Source organism: Homo sapiens, chromosome 12, assembly GCF_000001405.40.
Source record: "Homo sapiens chromosome 12, GRCh38.p14 Primary Assembly".
In the NCBI taxonomy this organism is placed as follows: Eukaryota; Metazoa; Chordata; class Mammalia; order Primates; family Hominidae; genus Homo; species Homo sapiens.
Window position 1 is genome coordinate 65,293,931 of NC_000012.12, and position 15,713 is coordinate 65,309,643.

The window sequence follows — 15,713 nt, forward strand, 5'->3', positions numbered from 1 at the left end:
AGGTTTACTTTCAGAGCTCTCCTGTGGCCTCCAGGTAGAGGGGAAGGAAGCAGCATCATTCGAAGGCAGCTCTAGTAAGGAGATAGTGTTCTGGGGTTGAAGTTTCTTTTTTCTGATTGGAGTGCTATCCAGGAATTCCAGGCAGTGCCCCCAGTATTTCTTAGGTTAGCTGTCTTTTTCAAGAGGCAGCATGGCAGTGCTTCCCAAATCCTTTGAAATCTAGGCATGAGCATTGCCACAGAACCCTTGTTTCATATGGCTTCCAACGTCAGAAGTGCTTATTAGTGTCTCCTGTTGGATCCAGATAGACCCTGTGAGTTTTAAGCTCCATACCTCATGGCCTACCTGCCCTCTGGCCTTTCATCCTATTTAGAATCCCACTGGGAATCTCCTGAATCTCACTAACTTGCAGTAACAATATTTGTGCATGAGATGAGTTAGGAGTTGGCCTTTTCTTCAATATAGCCTCTCTGCACGATAGCAGCAGTTTTTCAAAGTGGGTTTATTCTTTTAGTTTCCAATGCTGATGTAGGTTTTCCCCTATTTTTATACTTATCATTTTGATGGGAACTGGTGGGAATCTGACTGAGGAAGAACATGGGTGAGCTCTCTTTTGAAAGGTACTTATTTTATTGCCACCTTTGTCCTTGTGCATGTGTGCACATGCATGTGCGAGCAATTTGTTTTCCTCTTTGCTTTAAAAAAATCCTTCTAGGCCATTTTTTTGTATTGTAACTTTATATGAGACATTATTTTTAATAGGCACATTTAAGTCATTTATATTTTATGTTATGGACATATTTGATGACACTCTTTGTACTATAGTTTTATGTTCTTTTTGTGATTTTTTCCACCTTGGTTTTCAATCTTTTGCCATGTGGTTTCTGTGGGTTTTTTTGTTTTGTTTTGTTTTGAGACAAGGTCTCTGTTGCCCAGGCAGGGATGCAGTGGTGTGATCACGGCTCCCTGTGGCCTCGAACTCCTGGGCTCAAGTGATCCTCCCACCACAGTCTCCCAAGTATTAAATACCTGGGACTATAGGCATGCCTACCACATCTGGTTACTTTTTTAAAAAAATTATGTGCAGAAGAGATGGCACTATGTTGCCCAGACTGGTCTTGCACTCCTGGCCTTAAGTGATCCTCCTGCCGCAACTGCCAAAGTGCTGAGATTACAGGCGTGAGCCACTGTGCCTGACCTTCCATGTTTTATTCACTTTTTTCTTTCATAGGGTTTATTTTAGGTTCTATGACCTTGAAAAAGTATCTAAAAACATCATTGAGCCTTACCTAAGTATTAAATTGAAAAAGTAAAAAATGCAGTAGCATTTGACTCTTTTCTACAGGAGAAACTTAGGATTCTTGTCTTTTTCTCTGCCTTGCCTTTGTTAGCTAGAGTGGGTCCTGTAGATCCACATGACTATTGTCGAATAGTTGACATTCTATATGATTTTGTATTATACGTTCTCCCTTTTAAGGATTATTTTTATCTTTTTCATTAAATCATACAACATTTACTGCATTCAGTGACTACCACCACAACTTTTAATGTTAATTTAACTATCCTTAAGGATATTTGATTCATACATCATTTGGCTAAAGTACATTTTTGAGTTGATGTCTCCCTTTTTTTTTTGGTAGGGAAAGATGTATGGCTGTTTATTTCCTGAGCCCTTCTGTTATCTGAGGAAATTAAAGACTATTATATAACATGTTAAATCTCCCTTGCAAAACAACATTTAATTAATAGGAGGATTACAAAGAAGCATAATTGGGAGGCTGTAAAATTCCTATATAGAATAACCTAAAAGCAAATAATATTTTAATTATGGAATATAAAATGTTGCTAGCATTCTATAAGAATAAGAACCTAGGAAAAAAGGAATTTACTACAAATTCAGGTGATAAATTATATCAGTCACAAGGTTATTGCTAGGAATTCAAGACCTGTAATGTCATAGATAATTCTCAGGGTCACAATGCACAATTAGTTATAAGCCCTAGAACAGATTTATTTTTGAATGAGAGTAAGCAATATTGGCAGTTTTAGTTGAATTGCAATAAATGTTTTATAATTTCTATTGTGCTATTCACATTGGAGTTGACCAGCAGTTTGTTTTGTCAAATACTCATTTTATTAGTGTATTTTCTTCATGCATACACAAAGTTACATCACTCTATATGATTCATTGAAATAGTTGGTCACAAAATTTGAAATTTCTTTTTTGTCAAATATAATGATTTCTCTGACAGTTGCTAAAACATAATTGTTGAAATGGAAAAAGTAATCTTAGTTGAGTTGTCTGTTAGGCAATCACCTCATTCTTTCCCTGTGCAAAAATAAATTAATTAAACCCTCCAACACTCACACGCATGCATGCATGCACCACAGCCACACATACATTCTCTTTCTCTCTTTTAAACTTCGTCTTACTTTTCAATCTCCATAAGGGAAGTAAAACTCACTGAGCATGCTGCTAGATGCTTTCAAAAACGTTCTCTCATTTAACTCTTCCAAAACTTAATGAAGTACATGTTATGATCTACATTATACGAGTGAGGAAACAGGATCTATAGAGATCCACAGGAAGCTGAGGATCTTAGAGAGTAACTAAATTGCTTAAAATATATCAGCTGGTTAGGTGATAGAGTCAGGATTTGAACCCAGTTTGGACTCTTTCCTGTATACTGCACTGCCTAGACAGCAATACAGGATACCCTAGTCCCTGGGAACTAGGACACTACGCACAAAGATGAAGGAAAACAGGAAGTGCCATTTGTTCAGTGATACTAAAACATTTATTGAGCCTTTATTTTACAGAAGTGAAAGACCACTGACTACTCTCAAGGAGTTTAAAAGAGAAACAGATTTATGAACCTAAACTTCAAACTGCAATAATAGAGATCCTGAAGTAGGAAGTAGTGTGGAGGAAGAACTGATTAATTTTCTCATGGAAGTGATAGGGAGAAGGAAGTGGGGGACAACTGTGAAAGAAATGATATCTAAATGTATCATAAATATAAATGATTTGTAAATAATATTCTGCCCAGAAGAGATAATACCTAAACTGTGTTTGAAGGTTAAAAAATAATGGAATACTATGCAGCCATAAAAAGGAACAAGATTATGTCCTTTGCAGGGACATGGATGGAGCTGGAAGCCATTATCCTCAGCAAACTAATGCAGGAACAGAAAACCAAACACCACATGTTCTCACTTATAAGTGGGGGCTGAACAATGAGAACACATGGACACAGGGAGGGAGGCAACACACAATGGGGCCTGTTGGAGGGTGGGGTGAGGGGAGGGAGAGCATTAGGAAAAATAGCTAATGCATGCTGGGCTTAATACCTAGGTGATGGATTGATAGGTGCAGCAAACCACCATGGCACATGTTTACCTGTGTAATAAACCTGCACATCCTGCACATGTGCCCCGGAACTTAAAATAAAAATAAAAATTAAAATAGAATCCATTCTGCATATGAGATGGAGGATATGGGTCATATGGTGAGGGTAGACAAGACTGTATGGGAAACTATAAATTGTTGGCTATCATCAGAACATTATATTTATTTGACAAATATTTACTGAATGCCTGCTAAGGTTAGGCATCGTGTTAGGTAGTAGAAATAAAGTAAGGGACAAGTAAGTTCATGAAGCATATAGTGTACCAGAGAGCGTTGAGGATTGAGGTTCTATACTTAGGAAAAGAAACAAACCTGATGGGTCTTGAATACCAGGATACATTGGTTAGATTTCTTTCCCCTGTCCTGTAGGTTCTAATGAGCCATAGAAGCATGTTATGCAGGCTTATGGCATGGTCAGAACTAGTACACAGCCCTTTTGCAGTAGTGTGGAGGGTGAATGTGAGGGGAATTAGATTGGAGGCAGAAAGACCAATAAGAGGCCATTACTTATGGTAGATGGGAGATGAAAGGGATGTATTTGAGCAGTATCTTGGAAATAAAATTGACAGCACTTAGTATTGTTTGGATATGAATGGTTACAGTAGAAAGGAATTGGTGGTGACTCCAAGGTTTGAGATTTTAGTGCCTGGATAGATGGGTCTACTTTTTTTTTTTTTCTTTTGAGTCAGGGCCTCACTTTGTCACCCAGGCTGAAGTGCAGTGGCCTGATCTTGGCTCACTGCAGCCTTGATCTCCTGGGTTCAAGCAATCCTCCCGCCTCAGCGTTCCGAGTAGCTGGAACCACAGGTGCATGCCACCACGACTGGCTAATTTTTGTATTTTTGGTAGAAACAGGGTTTCACCATGTTGCCCAGAGTGGTCTCAAACTCCTGAGCTCAAGCGATCCTCCTGCCTTGGCCTACCAGAGTGCTGGGAATATGGGCGTGAGCCACCACACCCTGCTGATGGGACTACTTTCTAACAAAGAAATACAGACAGAATAATTAGTGAAGAAAGAAAGTAATAAATGAATTGAGTTTGGGATATAATAAGCAGTTTGAAGTAGATATGGAATGCTCAGATTCTTTGAAAAACATCTTTTAATCACCTAAAATTCACGAAGAAAAACAGTATAGGACAAAGTAGAAATTTTGCAAAATATTTTATTTCTTCTACTTTATGATCTCATTCAGGACTTTTCCTCTCTCCTAAGCCCAACATGATGTCAAAGGATAGTTGATAGAGGTCATTAAATATACCTTTTAGTGGAATATAAGGAGTCCATTTTCATAAAACTTCTCTTTTATCTGCTATATCAGATGCAAGCCATCATTATAATTTTATTTAATAATTTTCTATTTTCTATGGGGAGGGATACAAAAATTCAGATACAAGAGCAGATATTTACTTGTAATTTCCAGTGCTAAAACTTTTTATTCCATGAATGGGTGGCAAAGTTCTGACTTAAAATATATGAAATATGATTTAAGGATATGTATTTTTAAGGCTTATATTTAGCTCACTAAAAATAGTCTTTTAGTGATATAGATACTGTAGTTTATAGTCCCAGGCATAGGATTTAGTCAGCTTGCATTACCAGGTTTTTTCTTTAGATAAAATGGCCCATTGAGGCACTGGATCTTTTTTTATGTATAAGCTTTACTTTTATAAAAAACCTGCACATGGCTCTTGGTACAGGGGAACTAAGGTGAAAAAAACTACCTGCAACTCCACCTCTTTCTATTTCTGTCTCACTCCTCTGAAGTCATGTTTTAAAATCATTATTCTAGTAGTTACTTTCATAATTTTGGTTAATATAGTTATAGTGCTATTTATTGATGCATCAGTTTCAGATAATAACCAGTTACAGAATATAAGTATTTATCTGCTGTCTCTTCACCTTTCTGTTTACCATTGTTAGACTTTAATAGACAACAGGCTAAGCTGCTCTGACAAAGAGATTACAAGTGGAGCAACTTACAGAAAGTAGAAGTTTCCCTTTCATATACTAGTCCAAGGTTGGGCTGGTGAATAGCTCTGCCTCATGACCTGTTAGGTTTGTCTTCCTCATCAAGTGCCTTACTTCTCAGGGTTCAAGTGTGCTGATGCAGTTGCTGCCATTTCTCAGGAGGGAAGAGGAAATCCAAAGCAAGTGACTTTGTCTTTAAAGGAGATGAGCTGAAAGATCATACATGACATTGAGTTACATTCCATTTTCCACAACTTAGTATCATGTTCACATCTAGCTGCAAGGGAAGGTGAGAAATGAGGCTGTATGTTCAGTTAAAATTTCAGGGGGTTCTATTACTAATAAGAAGAAGGGAGTATGGATTCTAGGGGTCAGTTAGCGTTTTCCAGTCTAGTTGGTGTCTTCTAACCCTCTACTTTATAAGAGGAGGACACTGATACCCTGAGTCTTTCCTCCACCTTTCTTTCCAGCCTTCTTTACATTTTGTTGCTATATAGTTTTTGTTTCACAATGTGAACTTGCTAATGCTTACAGTCTGTTCTGAAATCACAGTCAAATATTTGTCCATAGGTTGTCTCTAAAAGCTTATATTGTTATGACTATGTGCACATCGATTACTTCCAGGTCACAATGTGAGCTATTAATGTGGTTCCTTCTCATTAGTTCCAGGGTCATGATCTCAGCTGTTGAAAGAAACAGACATTTTTCTATCATCATGGCAAATGGATTGATTTTCCTTGTATTTGTTGATTGATTTAAAATCAAAAGTTGTATCTGTAAGGTCTGGATTTAGGCATTGACTTGCTAGATCACTAGCTTTCTACAGTGAATGTGCTTAGTGTCCAATAAACTTTCAATTGCTTCAGGAAATAAGATCTTCACATCGTCATTTTATTGTGACCAGAAGCTACTCAGTCACTTTTGCAGCTGAGGAAAATCTTTAGTTTTTGGTGTTGAGACAAGTTTATGAGCTCTGAGTGATCAAAGTCAAGTAGCTGTCTCCTGGCCTTTAATGTGGGAATATGAGAGGGCAGCCGTATCTTCTGACTAAATTAAGAATCTCTTTGGGATATTTAGGATAGAAGGGATGACTAATGAGAGAGAAACTATAGACTTTTGGAAGTGGTCTCACTGTCCTTGGCATTAGACTTCTCATCCTTCCAGACTCTGTTGTTTTCTAAAACAAGGACATCAATCTGGGGGCACAAGGGCCCCTGCCCTTGAGGAGTTTGGAATGTAGTAGAAGAGATTAAAATAAAGTTTAGTTCAAATTCTGGCTCCATAATTTACTGGCCATTTAACCTCAAGCAGGTAATTCTCTAAGCTTCAGTTTCAATTGGAACAAATAGCCCCCAAATCCCAATGGTTTAAAATGCTGAAGGTTTAGTTCTTCTTTGTACTGTTTGTTCACTGTGGTTCAGATGGGAGCTCTGCCCCGTATCTCCTTATCCCAGAATTGTGATTAATGGAGCAGCCACCATCTAATTATAGAACATTGCTGTTCCCTGCTGCAGAGGGAGAGAAAGCCCTGGAGGGTCTCACACCAACAGCTAAGTACTCTGGCTTGGAAGCAATACACATAATCATTTCTGCTCACAATTTATTGCCCAGAGCTAGCCAGCCACATGTTCCTACCCAACCACAAGGGGGCCAGGAAGTGCATTCCTACCACGTGCCTGGAAAATGGAGAGCCAGAAATACTGTGTACAGAGTAATAATGACTACTACCTATAGGAGTACCTAGCTCAGGGTTGATGTGAGGATTAAATGAGGTTACACACATATATACACACACACAGACACACACATACACATACACACAGTACAGGTGCTCAAAAATGATTATTGTTAATCTCATTATAGATGTATACATGCAAATATTAAATAATATATATGGAGACTAAAGGCTTTATTATAAGGTTATAAGACTATCATAACATATACGAAAATGCCTTGTAAATAATAACATACTGTGCAAATGCAAGTTGATATCTAGTAGATGTTAGAAGATAAAGCATTAGAGCTTGGATCAAAGTTGGTGCTAGACCTTTGTATTCATCTATCAAGAAATGATGGTTGAAGTTGTAAGAATAGGTAAAATCTACACGGAAATTTTGGAAAACTTGCATTTCCTACTGTGAGCTTGACAGCTTCTCAATATTTAAAAACTTTTCTGATGAAATCAGTGATGATATTAATGAGTATGGTTTTTTGATACCATGTTACGAAATGTTTCAACATAAGAAAGATCTGTATAACTCGGTGAACCAATGTTTTCCAAAGGAACAGTGCAGGATGTTACAAAATCATGGAAGGTTAGAAGGTCCATTCAAAACGCAAGATAGACCAATGGGTTTTAATGTAACAGTATGAGAATTTCGTTGATATGGTTTCAGACTACCATTTGTTGATCTTCGGTGTGATAACAAAAGAATAAAACATACAATTATCTGAAAAGGTTATTAAAATACTCCTCCACTTTCCAGCTACTTATTTGTGTGAGTCTAGATTTTCTTCACGTATGTACTTCAACCAAAACAACGTATCACAACACATTGATTGCAGGAGCAGAGATGAGGATTCAGTTGTTTTCTATTAAGCTAGATAATAAAAAGAGATTTGCAAAAATATAGAACTCTTTCCATTATACATATATTTTTATTTTGGGTAATATAGTTAATTTTCACTATAAATGTCATTTTTATAAATTATTTAAGCTTTCAGGTTAAAATAAAGTTTTACTATTTTAAGAATAGTCATTTTGTAAATTATTTTTTATTTATTTTTAATGGAGTAAACAAATATCTAAAAAGTTTCTCAGCTGTAATTTTTAATAAGTAAATATTGATATTTATAATCATGTAAACAAAAGGTATTTGGAGCCCTTGATAATTTTGGGGAGTGTAAGGAATCCTGAGATCCAAAAGTTTGAGAATGGGTAACCGTAAAGATATAGAGATGAAAGAATACAAATAAAAAGTCTTCCTTCATACAGCTTCTCTTTGGTACCAAACTCCCATATGTCCCTGCCACTCCCTCTCCTAAAGCTGGAAGCAATTCTCTTTCCTGTGAAATTCTGTAATTCTTAATTTCTACCCCTGTTAACTCATTTAGCTTATGTCCCACTTAATGTTCCCACTTAAGCTAATGTTTTTTAACAGCACAGACTATGTCTTACATCTTTTCATGTTCATCAGCACCTGATACATTGTTTTCCATGTAGTAGGAATTTATATAGATGAATTGAGTAAGTTAAAAAAAATTACCTCTTAAAATCACTTGAAAGATCGAGTAAGCATTCTGAATAGCCAGGATTCTGTTTCTTAAAACAAATACAATCACAAAAGGATCTCTGTTTAACAAAAGGAATGCCAAATTCCAGCCAATGAGCTATGGATTTCAAGCAGTAGCTAAATGGTTGATCAATTCACTCAACAAACGCCAGTTGAGCATAAACTGCTAGGCACTGGGTTGATAAGAACAAAGATTTTTTTATAGAACTTTATAGTAGACACTTAGATTAGTGGTTCTCATGATGAAGTTTCTTCTGTTTATAATAAGATGAAAAAATAGCGACAATGAAACTTCTCCCCCACAAAACTACATATATTCTACTTAAAAGAATGTTTTTTATCTTGAGATCGCTTTCTTAGTTGTTGGTGTCAACATAATCTTTCTTTTCGGATATTATGGTGAGATTAGGGCTTTGAGCCTTTTTTTTTGGTCATTATTTGACAAAACTCAAAACTGTTGGCTCCTACAGTTCTGGGTGTGGTGGAGGGGAGCATTTTACTAGCTTGTGAAAAACCACTGATGTAGACATTCCTTTGGCATTTATTGGGAAGGGATTCGACCTTTAGGTTTGACACTTTAAAACTACTAGTACAATCAGCTCATTTATTCTGGAGCTAATTATCAGCTTTGTGAGTTCTCTAGATTCCTTTTTATACCATCTCTTTTTGGAAGATTAGTGTTCAACTACGGGGAAAAAAGTAAAAGGGAAAAAAGATAAAACAAAACCCTAGCAGATTAACTTTAATCAAATTTTTGGATGTTAGAATTCACGGGGGAGATGAAGAAGTAGAGATTTTTGACCAAAATAGGGCATTTGAATTATTTTTGGATTTCAAGTCTGGTTACATTTGCAACTTCCCACCTCTTCATAGGAACTAATAATTTTATAATATATTTTAATTCAAATTATTACCTTTAAGCATTATTAGCAGTTGAGATGGCAGAGATAGAAGCATTGGAAATGATGATCCTGAACAATATAGTCATATCCTGAACATATAATCGGTCATTTTCATAGTCTTTCACTCAATAAATGAATGACTCAATAAATAAATGCCGGGTACTGGGATGCAGGGATAAAAGACACTGTCACTGTCGTTAAGGGGTTTATAATCTAGAAGAGGGAGAGATCTAAGCAAATCAGTGCCCTGAAAGTTGTTATAGGGGATGTGATAGCGTATTTGGTGCTATACTGGGGACTAGAATTGGAGGCGTTAGGAATGGTGGAGGTTGGAAGTGGTGGCAAAGATAGTAAGGATCTGGAACGAAGACATGGAGGTGAAAATAGGAAACAGCTGACCTATTACAAAAATTACCACCATGTTAGTATGGCAGGAGTGTGGGGTGCGGTGGGTTGTAGAGGTATGGCAAGGGAAAAGGCTGAAGAGTTCAGCAGCAGCTGAGTGTAGAACTTTAGATACTTTAGATGCTTTGTTTAGGAATTTGGGCTTTATCAGAAGGATTTATCAGAATGTGTTCTGGGGGCTGGGTGATAGGACAGAAAGGGGTTTTGTATGATGAGAAACATTTCAGAGGCACCAATTGAGACGAAGTTAAGCAGCCATATCTATTGAAGACTTCTCAGACCCTTTATATTGGTTAGCATTTCCATGACTATTTGACTGCTAAACTTGTGGAAGGAGCGGCTATATTATGTTTCTCAGAACATGGTTTGGAGAACCCTGTGATATACAAGGGGGAATCATCAAAATGTTTTAAGCAGGAAATTATAGACAATTATGGAATCTAATTCTGTTCTTAACACATAATGTGATACTGCTCATTAGGTATTGTGCAGTCAGTATTTTTAAATGCCCACTATTTTCAAAATTATCTACCAGATATTTTGGGAGATTAGGAAGATTCATGAGACATCTTGTCTGGCTTTTAAAAAAATAACATGTTGATTAGGTTGGGTATGGTGGCTCACGCCTGTAATCCCAGCACTTTGGGAGGCCGAGGTGGATGGATTATCTGTAAATGTCATTCATCCATGTAGTTAATTGAATAAAAGGCAATGCGAAAGTGAGGAAGTTGAGAATAAACTTGGAGAATTATGGATTTTCTGGTGATCCTTGCTCAATGCTGATTTCTACAGGGTGTTTAATGCTAAGCTTTTGCTTTCAGGACTAGGATTGTTTCTGGCAATGGCCTTCACTCAGACAGTTCAGGGAATACAAACGGGTGAAAGCTGCCGAATTGAAACTTCAATTTAGGTGATCTGAGAGTGGAAGTAGCTGTTAGTTTGTTTGGTCCTCAAAAGTACATTGTCAACATTTTGAAGTTTTGGTAGATTAACATAGAGTTAGCTTTACAGATTGTGAAGGTATTTCCAAAGAATTTAAAGAAAAAGTTGAAGTTGAAAGCAGTTGAAGTTGCATGTGGTGGAACTAGAAATATCAAGTCTAGAAATCTGAGAATGTCAAGGGAGAGAATCTTCAAGTAATCTTCTTCTTTTTTGTTATTTTTCTTTTTTTTTTTTTTGAGACAGGGTCTTTCTCTGTTGCCCAGGCTGGAGTGCAGTACGCAATCTCAGGTCACTGTAATCTCTGCCTCCCAGGTTCAAGCGATTCTCCTGCCTCAGCCTCCTGAGTAGCTGGGATTGCAGGCGCCCACCACCATGCCTGGTTAGTTTTTGTACTTTTAGTTTCGCCGTGTTGGTCAGGTTGGTCTGGAACTCCTGACCTCAAGTAATCTGCCCACCTCAGCCTCCCAGAATGCTGGGATTACAGTGTGAGCCACCTCGTCTGGCCATCAAGTAATCTTCTTGAATTAAGTTTCCTTATTACATGTTCGTCATACTACCTAGTGGGGAAACATGGAATCAGAGTATTTAGAGTTGGTTGGTGCATCATAAGGCTTTTCATTGCCAGTTGTGTAGTGGTCAAGAGCACTGGCTTTGGAGGTGAATGTCCTGAGTTCACATGTATCAATCAGATTACCCAATTACTTAAGGTCCCTGCCCCTTACTAAGTGTAAGACCTTAGGCCATTTACTTAACCTCCCTATGCCTCAGTCTCTGTGTCTAAAAAGGGGAAAATGATAGTATATACCTCATGAGGTTGTGGGGATTAAAAGGGCTAATAAATGTGAAATGCTTAGAGCAGTGCATGGCACATGCTGTGTGCACAGTCAACTGTTATCTTTAGGATTTCTCTGTTGTTTGTTTTCATTAGAATAATTTACTGTGGAAACCTATCAAGTAGTGGTTTTCTGGCCTAAATAGGATTCTTTGGAGAATAGCTTGTTAACTCTAAGAAGGAGTGGATATAAATGTACTGTTACAATTTTCTAATTCATGCATTTAAAACTAGCAAATATTTGGCATATTTAAATAATAATAGCTAACATTTCCTGAGCATATACTATGTCCCAGGAGTTGTACCAAGCACTTTTAACCAATTAACTTATTTAATCATTATCTTATAAGTGAGGAAACTGAGGCCCCGAGAGGGTAAGCAAGTTGTCCAAGGTCACAGAATTGGCTATGGGCATGACCAGCATTCAAACCCAGATGGTCTGTGTTCACGGATCACACACATCCATTGTGATATCCCATCTTTCATGCAAATATATGTATTTTAGATCTGTTTGTTAAAGTGTTTTATTTTATTTACCGCAAACATTAATTAGGTGGAAAACATGAGCTAAAATAATTTTGTTAAATCATTTCAGTATAAAAATACATGTTAGAGCCATATTAACTATGATTCTTTTGTTCTGTGGAAGTATGAGTATTAGTTTGATGTAACCAAGGCATCCAGATGCATACATCCATTCTTTAGAACTGGTTTTCACTTTATGTCTCAGCTACATATTTTCAGAGTGGTTTATGAGTAATGCTACTTTGCATGCATTTTGCAAACTTCAATCCTTTTCTACTATCCATGCAGGCATTAAAATAATTCGGATAATATCAAATCCTAACCTATGAAACACATTCTTTTAGGATTAGAAAATGGAGAACAGTGTGACAAATTGTGCTTTTTGCATTCTTCAGTATAGAAAGACTAGACTGCTCTAAAAGTAGTCATTTTAGTTGCCCCACTTTGTTGGTGCTAATGTATGTACTTTCTGGGTCTATTTTCAAAAAGCTGGGCAAAACTAATTTGCCACTAGATGGAGCCCTGGCTATTTGGGTAGAAATACAGGCAACAGAATATTAAATCACACAGTCATATCATGCTGGAGGGCTCCCGGTATTTGTGGCCCTCAGGTTTTAATTGTAGAATGCATCTTTGTTCTTTCCCTGACCTGCAGAGTGACATCACTGCCTCTCTTCCTGTGCGCTGGCTTTGACATAAGCCAGATGGCCACCGTGGTTGGTAGGCGCCCAGGCTGCCTGGTACAGGAGTTGATGAAACAGAATAGGAAGACGTTTTATGGTCAGCTGTGGAAGCACAGTGAGACTGCAGCTTTGCTAAGTAATTACATTTACTGTGTGTGCTTTATTCCTCACAGAGAAGGGTCACAGGGAAAAAATACATTTTTATTTATAGTGTTGTGAGGTATAGACCTTTGATCTTTTATTAGTCAGTAGTCTGCTCCAAAGGAATGCTCTCTTTTCCCTGCTCTGCAGTCACTCGTGAAAATGACATGTTTATTTATGTTTAATGGTTCTTTCAGGCTGTGCATTGTGATACTTACCTTCCTTTTCCCTCCTCTTTGTCTGCAGTTAGTAACACAAAAATGTTTTAGTCTTGTAGTGAGTTTAGTTTGGGGAAGTCAGAGTTCAGGCATGTTAATACAAGCAGATTTCTGTCAGATATACTCCAGAGTGATTTAGTAAAATATATTACTGTTTATTATATGTTTGTTCTTCAAGGAGGTCAGAAGAGTCCGGAACAGACTTTTTTTGGGGCGGGAAGCAGGGGAAGTGGTCAGGAAATGAACAAGACATTAATTTTATATTAATTTTTGGACATTTAATGGTTAAAGTCACTTAAAATGCTAATTTGAAACAACATATATGAAGTTTATTAATCTAGTATTTTCCATTTGCATTTAAAGTTAATCTTTACCAATTGAAATATTGTAAAAAACTTTTAAGAAAATCCTAAGAATTGAACTTTTCTCTAAAGTTTAATATCTACACAATTTTTAGATTCTTCCACATAATTCATTTCCAAAGACATTAAAAAACATTTTTACACTTTTTGAATTACTAAATCATGAATATTATTCACAGGATTGACCTAGAAATTATAAATCATATAATTAAATGAAAATTCATATTTGCCATGCTTTATTCGAACTTAACGCTGTTTTGAAAGTGAAGTCCCTTAATTGTCCTTAGGTTTTCTGGGTCTCTATTTTATAAAATGAAATTCTAACAAAATGTGTCTCTTAATCTTATTATTTTATAGTCTTCTCCAGGGAGGGAGATTTGCCAATAATTGCTGGAAGAAGGCAGCATGGTGTAAGGAAAGAACATGGCTTTGCAGTCAGTATAGCAGGGTTTTTTAGTCCTTTTTCCACTGGTTATTTGCTTTGTGCCCTTGGACTTTTGAGTCACAGTTTCTTCACATACGTATTGGGGCATAAAACCTACCTCCTTGGTTTATTGTAAGAATTAAATGATACAACGTGTATATTAGGCTCCAGACAGTTCCTGTCACATGGTATGAACTCAGTAAATGTGAATTCCTTTCAACTGTTTTTAAACTTCCTCTCTTTTCTCAACCTCTTGTAAACTGTGTTCACAGATTGCACTGCTATCATGTAGTGTGTATTTTACCTCTAAGGTACAAATAAAGCTAGATTGAAAGTAAGCTCACGGGCTGAAAAATAGGCGTTTGAAATTTATTAGCAGTATGTGCATGTGTTCAGTTCCAGATAAAACTGTAACCATCAGTTGTGCAATGAATGTGTTTAATATTTGTGATGTTTTAATTTGATTTTTGTTTTTGTTTTTTCTCCTACTCAGCTCTTGCCCCTGTTCTTTGCTTCTCGTTTTGTTGGTGAAGATATCACAGTGATGTCTGCATTCAACCTGCTGCATTTGGTGACAAAGAGCCAGCCAGTAGCCCTTCGAGCCTGTGGGCTTCCCTCAGGTTGCTGCTTGTTGTACTGTACATAGTGAAGGCACAGGGCCAACTGGGTGTTTCTGCTGCAGGAAATGATACACCATCATGCTTTGCTAAATTTCATTTTCTTTTACTTGGGCCCTAATTTGAAGACGGAAATTGGTTATAAATCACCACTCTACTTTGAGTAACATTCATTTCCACAATCCTTACAACCCTTGGAACATTGTCCAGTTTCCTTGCCCAGTGTATAATTGTCACTAATATTTCATATCTTCTTGTTCTTTAATGCACACTACACATCTGCAAATCATAACGTTCATAAGAGGCTGGCAGTCTGAGTAAGAAACTGCCCCAAATCACACAAAATAGGACATTCATCTTGTTAAAGGATAATGAAAATGCTTTTCATTCCACATGTGGTCATTCCTTTAGGAAAAAATGAAAATGAACAATGTTAGCATGATTAAGTTACCAATTTATTGTAGTTAAAAAGAAAGAAAGTTCTACTTAACAATGGCCAAATAAACAGAACTAATATAGCATGCATCAGTGGGTTCTTAAATTAGAACCACTGTACTTTTTAAAAATGTGATTTTAAGAATTTAAATAAGTGAGGCATGAAAGTCCAAAATTTTATATGCGCCTGTATCATAAGCTTAATATTTTAATTTTATTATGAAAACCACAATGGCTAAATATTTTACTTCTGTGAGCGTGATTATCAATATTATTTACATTTTTCCATTAGTGTACATATCTATCACTACATTGTGTAAGGAATTTAATTCCAACTCATTAGATGTTAACTATGCATGCCAGGCATTGTGTTAAGCAGTGAGGATACAGTGATAAATAAGGTAAAGCTGATTTTTTTCAACAAGTACAAGGTGGAAATGGAACTGTGTGAGGACCATTAAATCATATGTTGACCTGACTAGACTAGAGGTATTTATACTTGGTGTGTTATGGTAATTCAGAGGAGGTTGTTCCTAGATCTTTTCTTTAGGAGAAG

General features: G+C 36.8%; 1 protein-coding gene across 8 annotated transcripts in view; it reads left to right on the forward strand.

Moving 5' to 3' along the window:
* MSRB3 (methionine sulfoxide reductase B3) overlaps window positions 1-15,713 on the forward strand; it is a 188,225-nt gene that overhangs the window by 15,248 nt on the left and 157,264 nt on the right. For 3 of the 8 annotated variants that reach the window (NM_001193460.2, XM_024448919.2, XM_024448918.2), the window contains exons 2-3: window positions 12,933-13,096; window positions 14,599-14,725. The exons of 1 other annotated variant lie outside the window; for it this stretch is intronic. In NM_001193460.2, the coding sequence (NP_001180389.1) occupies window positions 14,650-14,725 (76 nt within the window). In that variant the 5' untranslated portion in view covers window positions 12,933-13,096; window positions 14,599-14,649. Of the gene's footprint in view, window positions 1-11,174; window positions 11,300-12,932; window positions 13,097-14,598; window positions 14,726-15,713 lie in introns of those variants that run through there. 4 more of the 8 variants (NM_001031679.3, XM_024448921.2, NM_001193461.2 and 1 more) reach the window with 2 other exon arrangements.